General features: G+C 42.7%; 2 annotated features.

The window, feature by feature from the left end:
- Positions 8463 to 8512: an enhancer, noted in NCBI's record as "active region_7645". NCBI's record gives its function as "activates an Ori minimal core promoter by ATAC-STARR-seq in GM12878 lymphoblastoid cells {active_cell/tissue: GM12878}" and the evidence as "EXISTENCE:reporter gene assay evidence [ECO:0000049][PMID:35858748]".
- Positions 9413 to 9562: an enhancer, noted in NCBI's record as "active region_7646". NCBI's record gives its function as "activates an Ori minimal core promoter by ATAC-STARR-seq in GM12878 lymphoblastoid cells {active_cell/tissue: GM12878}" and the evidence as "EXISTENCE:reporter gene assay evidence [ECO:0000049][PMID:35858748]".

Here is a 14129-nt window from a genome sequence, read left to right on the forward strand (position 1 = left end):
ATCTATATCTCTGTTTTGGTACCAGTACCATGCTGTTTTGGTTACTGTAGCCTTGTAGTATAGTTTGAAGTCAGGTAGTGTGATGCCTCCAGCTTTGTTCTTTTGGCTTAGGATTGACTTGGCGATGTGGGCTCTTTTTTGGTTCCATATGAACTTTAAAGTAGTTTTTTCCAATTCTGTGAAGAAAGGCATTGGTAGTTTGATGGAGATGGCATTGAATCTGTAAATTACCTTGGGCAGTATGGCCATTTTCACGATATTGATTCTTCCTACCCATGAGCATGGAATGTTCTTCCATTTGTTTGTATCCTCTTTTATTTCCTTGAGCAGTGGTTTGTAGTTCTCCTTGAAGAGGTCCTTCACATCCCTTGTAAGTTGGATTCCTAAGTATTTTATTCTCTTTGAAGCAATTGTGAATGGGAGTTCACTCATTTTATAAAGAAATTAGCTCATGGTTCTGCAGCATTGCTCCAGCATCCGCATCAGGTGAAGGCCTTGGGAACCTTACAATCATGGTGGAAGGCAAAGGGGGAGCAGGCATCACATGGTGAGAGCACGTGCAAGAGAGAGAGATTTTAAACAAACAGATCTTGTGAGAACTCATTCACTATCTAGAGGACAGCACCAAGCCATGAGGGATCCACCCTGATAACCCAAACACCTCTTACTAGGCCCCCACCTCCAACATTGGGGATCATATTTCAACATGAGATTGGAGGGACACACATACAAAGTTTACCAAAGAGATAAAGGAAAGATTGGGAAACAGGTGAGAAAAATTACTTCACTTATGTAGGAAGGAGCAATGGGGAATCATGCTCTATTGTTCATTCACCAACTCAGCTTCTTGTTTTATAGACATGGAAACAAAGACCTAGGGATGAAGCCATGTCTCCAAGGATTATATGGTGAGTTTAAGACTGCTAGGCTAGTCTGCTGGCTTCCAAGTGAGGTCTGGGATGCGGGGAAGGTTACAGAGAGACATATGCAAAGAGTAGAGAGAGAAGTATATTGGCTGATGGCTGAAGACTGCAGCAAGTTAAGACTGAATCTTGGACAATGTTAATATTTAAAAGAGATGAAAATGTGAAGCAGAGAGGATCAGATCAGTCTATTGTCCCCTCATGGAGACTGTGTATCTATTAAACACTTTATAAGCAGCTAACTCAGTCTTCACTACAACTCTTACAAAGAAGGGATTATCATTCATTTTTTACATATGTGGGAACAGACACTCAATAGTTTTCAAGCAATTTCCTCAATGTCTTGCAGTTGCAAAGTGTTAGACTGCAATTCATATTCAGGTTTGTTGATGCCAGAATCTTTACCCTTAACACACACACACACACACACACACACACACACACACACACACACACACACACACTCAGAGAGAGAGAGTGAGTGATATTCAAGGAGGGTGTGGTTAATAGAGCCAAATGCTGAAGAGAGGTCAAGGAGAGTGAGGAGAGGAAATGGTTTCAGAAATTGTGATCTTACATGGAGAAATTACTTCACCAATGTCCTTAGGCTGCTGAGTGGGGCAGTTAGGAGCTCATAACTACTGATTTGGGGAGGCTTTAAGACAAGTAGAATACTGGGACCACAGACAAGTGGAAATACATGGTTGGATCTTGAAACCTTAAATTAGATGCAATTTCAAACAGAATTTTGCTGGCTTAATCATCAACTTAAAGAAACCATAAGCGACCAGACTGACAATAGCTTTTGTCCAAGTCCAGGCAATGACATGGAGAACATTGAAACGGTGTTGATGATGCAGGTGCTATAAAGGAGACTGTAGAAAGACCATTAAAGCATTATTCTCACATGCCTGTGTCAGCAGAAAGCAAAGGGGGTGTCAAGGAACATGTTTTTTAGTTTGTCTAACCTGAAGGTTCACTGAAAAATTAATGTGTTTGGTAGTAAGGAGCAATTAATTATCAATGAGCTTCTCCACCTGCATTCTCTTCTTTGGAAAAGGATCTTTCAATTTGGGCATCATAAATAGCAGTCTTTTTTTTTCAAACAGCATTTTAATGAGCAGAACATAAATAAATTCATTGCTTCCAAAAACAATGCAGAGATTGAAGTGGCAGAGCACCAGGCAAGTTGCCTTTTGGGTTTTAAAAAACCCAATATTTCATGACCATTGCAAGACCAAGGCAGGGTTTGCAGGATGGGCTCTTTATTGAAGCCAGGTGTAAGCTGTCTGCTCTTCCTGGCGGGGAGGCTGTTTGGGTTGAGTATTTCCTGTGGTGGCTGCGCATTCTGGCCCAAGTCCCTGGTGCCACTAGTCTTCCCCACTACTCCCACAATCTCTTCTTGCCTTTTCTCCCTTTCTCCCCTCCTTCCTTGCTTACTCTTTCCCTCCCTCCCCAAGTCTACTTTCTTGAGGCAGTTCCATTCACACACTCTACCCAAAATGTTTAAAAAATTATTCATAATTCCACAATTCAGCTCATGTTATTGGACCCATGGCATGTTATTTATGTTCAGTGTGGCTACAGTAGAACTTGGACCCTGGAGTGATGGCATCTGGAGTGTTTCTGTTCACTCTTAGCTGAAAAGAAGCAGTGTTTGTAATTTTTGTCTGAGGATTCCTTCTTCTGTAAAATGGAACAACAGTTCCTGCCTTACCACAAGCTTGTAAGGAGAAAATTAAATACAGTATATGAAAACCCCTAGGTCAGTGCCTGGCACATGGAAGGTGCTTGGTAAATATTGGCTACTGTGAACATAAACGTAAGATGACTGATTCCTTCTACCCCTCCAAAACAAAAGAAGGTGCATCCCTTCCTTAAAAGAAAAAGTGAGAAAATCCTGAAACTAGGGGCAGAGAAGTCAGGGAACAGAGCTCAAACATCTGTTCTTGAAGCCAGCTGCTTTGAAGTTGATATTATGGGAATTGGGAACTCTTGATTTTTTGGTAACAGCTTTAAGATATCATTGACATATGAAGGCTGTATATATTTAAGGCATACAACTTGATGTTTTGATATGTGTATACATTGTGAAATAATCACTGCTTTCCACATAATTAACATATATATTGCCTCTACAAAGTTATGCTTTTTTTTTTTTTTTTTTTTTTTTCTGTGTTGCCCAGGCTGGAATGCAGTAGTGCAATCCTTGCTCACTCTAACCTCAAACTCCTGGGCTCAAGCAATTTTCCCACCTCAGCCTCCTGAGTAGCTGGGACTACAAGTGTGTGCCACCTTGACTGGCTAATTTTGTGTGTGTGTGTGTGTGTGTGTGTGTGTGTGTGTGTAGATAGGGTCTTGCTCTGTTGCCCAGGCTAGTCTCAAACTCCTGGCTTCAAACAATCCTCCCACCTCAGCCTCCCAAAGTACTGGGACTACAGGTGTGAGCCACTGTGCCTGGCCTGTAGTTACCATTTTTATACTTCATGACCAACATCGCCCCATTCCCCCTTCTGCCAACCCTTGGCAACCACCATCTTACTATGAATTTGATTATTTTAAATTCCACATGTAAGTAAAATTGTTCAGTATTTCTCTTTCTATGTCTCATTTAGCATAATGACCTCCAGCTCCATCCATGTTGTTACACATGACAGGATTTTATTTATTTTAAAAGGCTGAATAATATTGCATTGTGTATATGTCTATCATGAGAATTTTGAAGAAGCCTCAAGAGTGGTCAAGGAGAATCCTGGCTACAAGAAGATGATGTTTAATTATGGGCATTAAATTGTCTAATTAATAACCAAGGTCATCTGGAGAAAATCTGTGGGTAGATGGGATCAGGTTTCTGGGATTCAATCTGACACACGACTCATTAATCAATGAGGCCAAAGCTCCCCAGTGACCTCCATATTGTCAAACTCACTATGTGCTTCTTGGTTCTTGACCTCTAAAATTAACTGATGTTGGTGACCCTCTACCCCTTAAATCAGTGACTGATATGACAAAATTCTCTTTTGATCTTATATGTTTTGGGGGTTCTTGGTTGAATCTTCCTCTGTATGGCTTTTAAAAGCTGGTGTTGCCAAGGATTTGGGCCTTAGTCTTCTCCCGTTTGTGTAGGCAATTTGATCAGTATCTTTACTTTTTTTTGAGATGGAGTCTCGCTCTGTCACCAGGCTGGAGTGCAGTGGCGTGATCGAGGCTTACTGCAACCTCTGCCTCCTGGGTTCAAGCGATTCTCCTGCCTCAGCCTCCCAAGTAACTGGGACTACGGGCACGCACCACCATGCCTAGTCAATTTTTGTATTTTTAGTAGAGACGGAGTTTCACCATGTTGGCCAGGATGATTTCGAACTCCTGACCTCAAGTGATCTGCCCACCTCGGCCTCCCAAAGTATTGGGATTACAGGCGTGAGCCCTTGCCTGGCCAGTATCTTCACTTTTAACCACCACCCATTTGTAGATGTTACCCAGCATAAAACTGTGCTATCTTTGTAAGGAGGCTCTTTGAACTTAGCCCAATCCAGTTGGCTGGTATGTCCATCAGTTCTTCCTGCTGTATGTCCTTTCAGGCCCTTCTCTTCTCTACAGCCCCATCCCAGAGCTGCCTTAGGTAAGGTCTTCCTCATCTTATGTGTGGCAGAGCCAAGTCTCTGTGGCAGAAACCCTGACATCTACTTCGACTCCCTCTACTGCTTTGCCAACAACGTGCACTTTCTAAAATACATGAGCTTTTAAAAAAATTCAACCTGATAGATTGTCTTCTAATACATGAATTTAATATGTTGATATTTATTGTGATTATCACCATATTTGGACTTATTGTTAACATCTTAAAAATACATACATTTTAATTTCTTCCCAACACTTTTTTCTCTCCATTGCTTTGGAAACTATACATTTAACTTTTTGGTAGGTTATATCTTTACCATACATGAGTTTTCTAATAACATCTGAAATTATTCAGTCACTCTCATTCCTCTATCTTCCTTATTTTTGTCACCTAGAATTTAAAATAAAAGAGTTATTTTTGATAGTTAGTAGTTAAATTATCAATATAATTTACCAGTTTCTTTGCTCACCATTTAAAATAAATTTGTACTCCTTCTTTGTGATCCTTTTTCCTCTTGAGGAACTATTTTTCATTTAGTGAGTGTCCGTAGGTGTTAAAAGTTCTTAGACTTCATATGTCTAAAAATATCTACCTCACCTTCTTCTTAAATGATAGTTCAAATAGGTAAAGAATACTTATTTTTCCTTAAGCTTTGATCACATCACTCTTCTGTCTTCTGATATTTGTTGTTAATGATGAGAAGTCTGCTGTTGGTCTTATTGCTACTCTTTTGTGGATTGTCTTTTTCCCTGTTAGATTTTAAATTTTTTTCTCTATAGCAATGTTCTGCAGTTTCATTACAATGCATCTAGTTAGGAATATATATATTTGATGCCCAGTGTTCACTATAAATCTATGATTTTTTTCAATACTGGAAAATTATGAACTGTTAGTTCCTTCTATATATTTTTTTCTACACCAATTCTTCTATTCTTTCATTTTGGGGCTGCTGTGAGTCTTCTGTTGGAATCCCTCAGTCTGTCCTCTTGGCTTCTGATGACCCTTTTCATGTCTTCTTTTTATCTTCTGTGCTATCTTCTGGGCAGTCTGTGAGCTTCCAATTTCAATGACAGTATATTCTGTTTTCAGGACTAGTATTTGGTTGCTTTTCAGAACCATATATTGTTTATTCATATCTGCTTTTTTTGTTTGTTTGTTTCTCATAGATGTAATTACTTCCTTTATCTCTGAGGGTTTTAAGCATGCTTCTTTTAAATGCTTTTGAGATTGCTCAGGTGTTTCTATTTGGAGGGAGTAAATGTTGCTGGTCTTTGAGCTTGTTGTCTAACTTTCTTCCTGTTAAATTTTCTTTCAAATTTAGGTTTGTATGCTCTTCCTGAGGAGCTCACTTCTCCCCATAGCTCTGGGTTATTTTCCTCCCCAGTTAATGGTTTTGACATTGCCTCTGTCTGGTTCCCAGGAACTCTGTTCTGGATCCAGGTTGAATGTTGGTGGATGGGCTCTTACCTCATGTACTGGGGATACCTACATGTAGCCACTCAGCTGGTGGGTGGCTTCCCCCAGGACGGGGCTCCAGGGCTGTGCCTGCTTCCTGCCCATCCACTGGCCTATAGAAAGGCCAATGTTTTAGCTTTTCCACCTCCTTTTACAAACAAGGGAGCTCAGCACCATGCCTGGCTTCAGGTGGTGATCCTGACTTGGGTCCTCTGCCATATCTGGAAGGTTTTGCTCCCTGTTACCCCAAAAGAATCAGACTTTGGTCATCTATGCCTTCTTGACCAAGAGACCAAGAGGCCCATGGTTTTGACACTATTTATTACTCTTTCTTTTTCATGGAAGTATTTATCTGATTTTTCAGTGTGATTTTATTTTTATTGCAGAAATACATGTTTTACATATTATTGCTGTGTTTGGAGTAGAGATGAGGGGGCCCACAACTTGAGCTCAAAATGCCATTTTGCCAGGGAATATCTCTCCCTATTAATCTTTGTGTTCCCATGCTTGTCACATAGCAGGTGCTTGATGAATTTTGGTGGTTTGCTGTTACTGAGACATGGGCCTATTGGAGGCACAGAGGCCTGATGGTGAGAAAACCCCAGTTACCACAAAGTCAGGGAAAGCTCTGTCTGAGGCCCTCTTCTGTGACTTGGAGGCCTATCTCAGAAAGCTCTACTTCCTGGAAGGACTATCAGGGTGTTAAAGTGTCCTCGCTACTAGAGAGAGGACTGATCCTTTTAGTGCAGAAAAGCATCCTCATCCACTTATGAGCCTTTCGTGTAGTGTTTAAAGAAAGTGTTGTCATTTAAGCTGATTTGTGGCCCATCAGAAGACTCAATATCCCCAAATTTGGATTCCTGGGCCAGTGGGTCAGTGTTCTCTTCAGCAGACTGCCTCAGTGGTAGAGACAGGAGCTGCATTGATTGTTGACAGGACACCAACCTGTGTGAAAAGCAGGTCTCACATAATCTGTCCAGGCGATAATCTGCTTTAGGATTGATAGATGCCCTCTGTGGAGAAAATAAGTCAGTAATGTGCTCTCAGCAGGAAACTTTGTCAGCAGCGGGTTGTTAGAAGTAAAGGGTGTGATTACAATCTAACTTCAGTGTAACTTTGACTCTTCCGTGTGTTTTTCTCATTTATCTCATGAGTCATAAAAACATTTTGATGATTGCAGCAAAGTCTGTGGCTACTTAGCTCTACCACACTGGAAACACTTTATCCAGTAATAGAAAGAAATAGAGTGCCACATTGTTATGTTCCAGAGATCCAGCCTCCGCTCTTTCTTTGTCTTTTATTGGAAACTTGTGAGATTTGGAAGACTGTTCCCTGGATGCATTTGGCATCCCAGTTTGCTGAGAGTTTCTACAGTTCTGGTTCACTGCTGGCTCAGCGTGGTGTGGGAGACATTGGGTGTTTTGCCTGTCCAGCATCTATTTCCATTCTTCTAGGAACTGGATGTTTCTGTCTGGTGGAGAACGTATTCCACAACTGGAGCCAGACCCACCCTGCCACAGAGGAAGCCACGTGACCCAGGAGTGGTTTAGAAATGGGCACATGACCCAAGCAGAGGCTTCCCAGGACCTTTCTGTTGGAACTATTTGAAACTACTTTCATTCCACTGGAATTCTATGCTGGCAACCACCTTCTCACCTTTTGGAGAGCACCTGTCCAGCAGGTGCAGAGAGAGGCACGTGTATGATGACATTGTCTGAAACCTTACATCAGCCTTGCCCGAGGTCAAATGCATTTCAGTGAATAAACTCATGGATTTCTTTCTTGATTTAAGCTAATTTGAGTTGAATTTCTGTCACTCAAGACTGAAAGTGTCCTGACCCTTATGTGTAGGAGTTAGGAGTGAGAAATCATTTAACAGAATTCTTGAGAGCATGCTCTGTTTACATCTTCACTCATTTCAAGCCCAGGCTACTTATGATGCATGCCTGGCCCTTAGGCACTCTCAGCATAGTTGTTTATGAAGGATTTTGGACAATAATTGACTTTTTGGGTGTCTAAGGTTTGAGTTTCTTTTATCAACTAGTGCTGGAGGAGCCAAATAGTCAAGACTGGGGAAAGGAGAGGAGGAAGAAGACCATGAAGTAGGGAACCTACTGATCCTAGGAGCCATCCAGGAACTGCAACTATTGTGTGCCTAAATACAGGAAGGGCCAGCGACTGAGGATGTGCCTTCTGGATGCCTGCCACGTTTCCTGCTCATTCACCCAAGCCTGCCGAGATATCAGTTTACCCAGAGAGTCAACGTACTTTTTCCACAGTGAGACCAATTGAGAACACAAGTATCCCAATTTCCAGGCAAGTGCTCTATTTATCAGATCACACTTCCTTCCTGCTTTGAGAACAAAATAACCTAGCAGTCAGAAAGCACAATTGGGCACAAGATTCTACAAACAACAGGAGAACATATCCTGTAGAAAAACAGCACAGTGTGCGTGGTCTGTGTAGCTGGGAGCTCCTGTAGAACAGGTGGGCTTTCAGAAGTTCAAGAGAAGGAAGATAGGACAGAGAACCTCTGAGCTTGCCTCTTTCCACCAAAAAGCTGTGGAGGTTCTGACTCAGGGTACACAGGTGCAGTAAGACTGTGTGGGGCAGGAGGAACAGCAGGAGGAGAAGACATAGAAATCAGTAGAAGGCAAGGCTGAATGAGGGGACTGATTGCTGATTAGAATCTTGCTCTTCTCTTCTATGTGTTGTGTTCCAAGGGAACCCCTAAGTCTGAATATGGATTGGAATAGGAACCTTGAAACTGTCATTGAGGAGCGAAGCATGGCAGTGTTGGGGTGGGTGTTGCCAGGTGGACGGGATGGGGAGAGGAAGTGGTTTTGTAGGAGAACAAAAGAGAAGCAAGTGAAGATGGTTTCTTCACCAGAAGCTGCCCTCAAGCCGAGTAAGCGAGGCATGGAATGTTGGGCTTCTAGAAAGATCCTGGACCTTAGGCCCTGATCCAGGTGGAGCCCAGAGGGCTGAGATCAGAGGAAACCTGCTGAGAAAGTGTGGGATTTCTTACCACAAGACAGTCTTACTGCCCTGACCAGACCTGGCCACGATTGACATTTAGACAAAAAAGAGCACACAGAGAACACTGAGGAGCGTGGCCCACCCATGCTGTGTAGGAGGCAGACAGACACCTTTTGTCTGTGAGGCCAGTACACTCTGTGTGTCTCCTCTAGTCTACAGCCAATTCCCTCAGCCATCGCTGGCTTTTAATCCAAAAACTCATCTGTGGGAGATTGATTCAGCGCCTACGTGCTGCCTGTCAGCTCAGGGCCAGGGCAAAGCCAAGCAGGGCACAGATGTGGCTTCTGCTCCCACCTTTCTGGCTCCTCCATGCCCTTTAATTCATTGCATCAGGTTCCCCTTTTTAAGAGCTTAACGACTGAGGTGTGTGCACAGCTTGTGTTCCTGACCAAGGAAAAACTCTGTGCTCTGTCTGCGGCACGTCAGCATCCTCCCCCGTCTCCTGTTGCCAGCCTCTGCCCTGCCCAATGCAGTTCAGCTGGCTTGCCAGCACCGATGGGAAGCCTTCTGGTTGCCCCTGGCTGATGAAGGTCTTCTCTCCCCACCCCCAGCCCTGCTCCCAAATGGGGAGAGTTTTTGGAGACCCTCAAAATAATTATTCACTCCATTAATTAGATGTGTAAAAAGGGTGGGGGATATTACTCTAGGAACGAATTTGAGACCCTTGTGGTGTCAGAGAAAGGACTAAATGGACAACAAGCCCACATTATAAATTATTTATTTCATCCATTCCATCTGAACAATGGATACGTCCATGTGAAAACCAGAGCTCAAAAATCAGAATCAAAGGACTGACCACCATGGCCCACAAGCACCCTCTACATCACTGACCCCCTAGTATGTCATTAAAATAATTAAAAATAAAGAGGCTGGGTGCAAGGGCTCATGCCTGTAGTCCCAGCAGTTTGAGAGGCCAAGGTCAGAGGATGGCTTCTGGTCAGGAGTTCAAGACCAGCCTGGTCAACATAGTGAGACTCAATCCCTACGAATTTTTTTTTTTTAAAGACAAGAAAAAAAAAGAAAAGAAAAGCCAGTTGATTCAGGTGCTCTAATGAGATCTCTAGACTTGTTCTTTGAACCCATGTTTATGTTAAACAGGAGCTTCCAGCTCTAGGTTCTTGGGCACAGGCTGATGTGAGTTCATTGTGGATTCCTGTGAAGTGTGTTACTGCAGGTGACCGAAACTGGACTTGGACTGAGGTATGAGGACTCTCCCTGAGATACAAGTGCTTTACTAGTTGCTTTGTTTTGTGTCGGGAGAAAGCTTGGCGGCTCCTCCTCTATATCGTAGCCTCTGTCAGAACTGTTGTGCCTTGTCATCAGCCCTTTCTGGGTGGTGCCATCTCCTGCGTGGCCTTGCCATGAAGAGACTTCCTTTTGGGTACCTGGGGCAGACGCTGCCACAACCGCAGGCGTCCTTTGCTGAGTGCTAGTTGTGGTGAGGAGCTGAGGCCAGCTGACATGAGTGTGCCGGTGCTCCAGGATTATGCTGGTTGACCAAGTTGGTCAGCTGAAAAATTCCTTAAAATACCCCAGGGGCCTGTTTTTATTTTGTATTGTTTCTGAAAGGATAAATACTTGAAAACATGGATGCCAGAGAAGAGAGCTCTATGACTTTTATGAAATTGGCCATGCGCAAGTTTAACAAAAAACTAGTTAAAAGACTAGAAATTATGGTTACAAAATATCTTTGCTAATAGTTTACTGTCTGGCTTGGGTGAGTTTAACTTTAAGGTGTGGTAGCTCTGGAAATTTATCGTGAGTCACACATAATAACCGGCTACACCATCAGGCATCAGCCCACACACAATTTTCCAGCCCTGAACTTTGAGTGTTTCATAGAAAATGAAAATAATGCAGTTTTATGTTTTATTCTAGGGATGAGGTGGTTGGCACCATTTTAGGCTTTGCTGAAGACTTGTGAATTTGATGTTTCCTACCAAATTAAAACATATTGAGGGAGTACTTAGTTTCTAGTTGACAAACATAAATCTCCTTTAAGAGAAAACCATACCAAAAAACCATGGTATATTGTCTGTATGTTGATTTCCTCCTTTGTTGGTTACTTGTTTGACCTGGACCATCAGTTCTCAAAATGGCCAACTCAGCTCTTGAAATCATAATTACACATTTGAAGGAAGCCGAAACCAGCGCACGCAGATGGCTATCTGCCTGCATGCTTTCTTTTTCTTGCCTTCTGTTCTCTTTCTGAGATTGGAACACCATTGATATACTTTCTCTTGTACTGAATCAAAGATGCCATCATGCAGGAGATGGTCAGTAGATGTTCTTTCTCTACATGCTGGGATTGGTCTTGAGTTTTAATAGTTATTAAATGCAATTGTGCTGGGCCCTTGGAAAACCAACTTTTATTATGTAAATTCATGACAGACAATTATTTTCCTGAAAGCCTGTCTCTGTCTGGGATGTCTCTCTATTCTGAAAGGCTTTCTCCATCTGGGATATTTTCTTGTTTCATCAAAATCCTCCTCAAACTCTGTGGTTCTGCTAAAATATCTCCTTCCTTGACTTTCTTTCTTCCGCTTGTCCTTTATTCTTTGAGATTCCCTTGGCACTTGTCATGTATATCCATTCTGGATGCTTGGTCAGTTTTTTAATGTGTTCTCTTGCATGTGTTCATACCATCTTCTTAACTAGTCTACAAGTTCAGCAAAGGAAAAAAATGCTTTGCTCATTTTTATAAATGTCACTGTCTAACACGCAATAGGCACCCTGGAAATGATTTGTTAATGTAGTTCGTGTGTTCATTAACTTTCATGTAGAGCAAACCATGTGCGAGACCCTCTGTTAGGTATTTTCACCTCCACTGTCTACTTGAATCTTTCTAGGGACTCTAGGAGATAGGCATTATTATAATTTTTAGGTGACAGAACTAATCCACAAAGAGCTTCCCTGATGTCCCCAAGCCAGGAAATGGCAGAGCCAAATTCAGTATAATTCCCAGTCTAATACTTCTTTTGCAATGCCATCTTCACAATAAAAATTATCAAGAAGGCCAGGAGGCAGGGATGCTTCCTTTTACAGGTAGGAAAGCCTGTTTAGGAAGTCAGCTCCTCAGGAGCCCTGGGACCTGTTGGAGGTGTCCTCAGGGAATGACTGTGCAAGCTGCTGGCAAGCTCCCACAGCCCTGTTGGGTGCTAGAGACTCTTAAGTGTCTCTAAACTCTCTGCTCAGTTCTTCTGACTATAGCCTTGTTATGCTAACTGATATCCAGGGTCCTGATGGCCATAGGCAAGGAGCGTGCCTCTGAAAGCTCTTTTATTTTCCCTGGCATGGGATTCTTTCCACTTGATGCACTTGTGTCCTGTGCACTGTTACGCTGTAAGCTTTCTTCTAGACAGAGCTTGCTGCAGGCAGAAAGGACAAAGAACAGCTGGCCCTGAGGATAGGAAGGCAGCTCTGCAGACACTGAACAGGGCTTGTGAAATCCCTTGAGTCCATGGTGGGTGAGGAGTCTTGCTGCAAATGTGCATGTCTGTGCTCACAGAGCAACACTAAACCCATGCAGCTGGGCTGGTGTGCCGTCACCCGAAGCAGTATAGTTGAACAGGCTTGCCTGGATGGGAATCCACATGACTGTACACAAGGAGAAATATTGGTACCTAGCAAAGAAGCATTGTGACAAAAGAGAAAACTTGGCTAACATATTCTAGTGGTTTTAGATAATTTCCCTTTGTTGGTCAATAAACCAGCCTTTGGGGCGGGGGATGTGAAAAATTTCACCCATACACAGCAGAGTTTCTCAGTGTCAAATGTCTGTCACAAATTTTGCTTGTGGTCATCTCTAAAGCCTACAATTTAAAAAAAAAAAGCGGCAATTATCTCAACCAAAGTGCTATTGAGTGCACTTCCCAGTGGCTGATCCTCAGACTCCTTTCCCAACAATGTTTTCCTCGTGCAAAAAGCCCAAAGGAGCGTGTGCGTGGTTCTGAAGCCGAGAAGTCAACTCCGCGGAAAATTTGCATGCTGTAATTGAGTTGCCAGGAATACTCAAGACATAATTCTTCAGGCTTGTAATGATTGTGATTCCCTGCAGCCTTCCAGACTGGCAGTGGAAATGGCAGCTGGACTCCTCCAGGCTCTTGTAACCTGGTTGTAAGATTGGGCCTATCCCATGCAGCTCTGATTCCCTTGTTTTCAGGAGGTTGTAGCTGGTCAGCCCTCAGCCTTCCCCTCCTTTAAACTCCTCCAGTTTATTATGCATTTACAACTCCTTTGGACATGGGGTCATGTGGTTGCCTAGTGTGCTGGATTGAAATATTTAGTATAGAGGCATCTTGTGACTACAGGGTAAGTTCTTGGAGGAAAAGAATCTTCTCATACTTCTTTAGATAAGCACTTAGTAGATGCTGAGTACTTTTGAATGAGTGAACAGAGATGGATTTTGCATTCCTTTGTAAACATTTTGAGTGCCTGTTTGTGATGTGGCCCTGTGGACATGCATGACATAAAGGTGTGATCAGGATGAAGTTGAAGAAGGTACCAGTGTAGAACCTTTGTGGATAATTTTCAAGAAAATTAGTTGGTCAATCATTCCTGGTTGACAGATTGAACTTAATATGGGAGTCATTTAGTTGATATTGCATCTTTGAGCATTAGGGCAAAGGCAAGACCCTCTGCTCCTTGTCTGCCCTAATGCTCAAAGATGCAATATGAGGGTTTGTGTGTGTGTGTGTGTGTGTGCGTGTGTATATGTGTGGAAGTCTACACTGGATCTTGTCACTGCATTGCAGTGAAGCAGGACACAGTTGATTCCTAACTTGGAGGAAGCTTCCATCACTTCATCCCATTATGCTATATCTTGGGATACTTTCTTGTGTTTTGGGGCATCCTTTTCTCTGATTCTATTTTTGAACCCTAAAATACTTCCTTAGTGAAATATTTGACTATCCAAAGTTCAAGTATGCTCAGACAGTAAATCTTGAGATGTAGAGATGAAGAAGGGTCGGGGGAATGTTTCTTGGTATAATTTAGACTAAAGGCAGGTATAAACTTTGTTTTGGAGATTTTGGATTGACTGTCTCCATGGTCCTGAATCCCAGGGCCAATCAGAGGCAAAACTGAAAAAGTGA

This window comes from Homo sapiens, chromosome 13, assembly GCF_000001405.40.
Source record: "Homo sapiens chromosome 13, GRCh38.p14 Primary Assembly".
Classification (NCBI taxonomy): domain Eukaryota; kingdom Metazoa; phylum Chordata; class Mammalia; order Primates; family Hominidae; genus Homo; species Homo sapiens.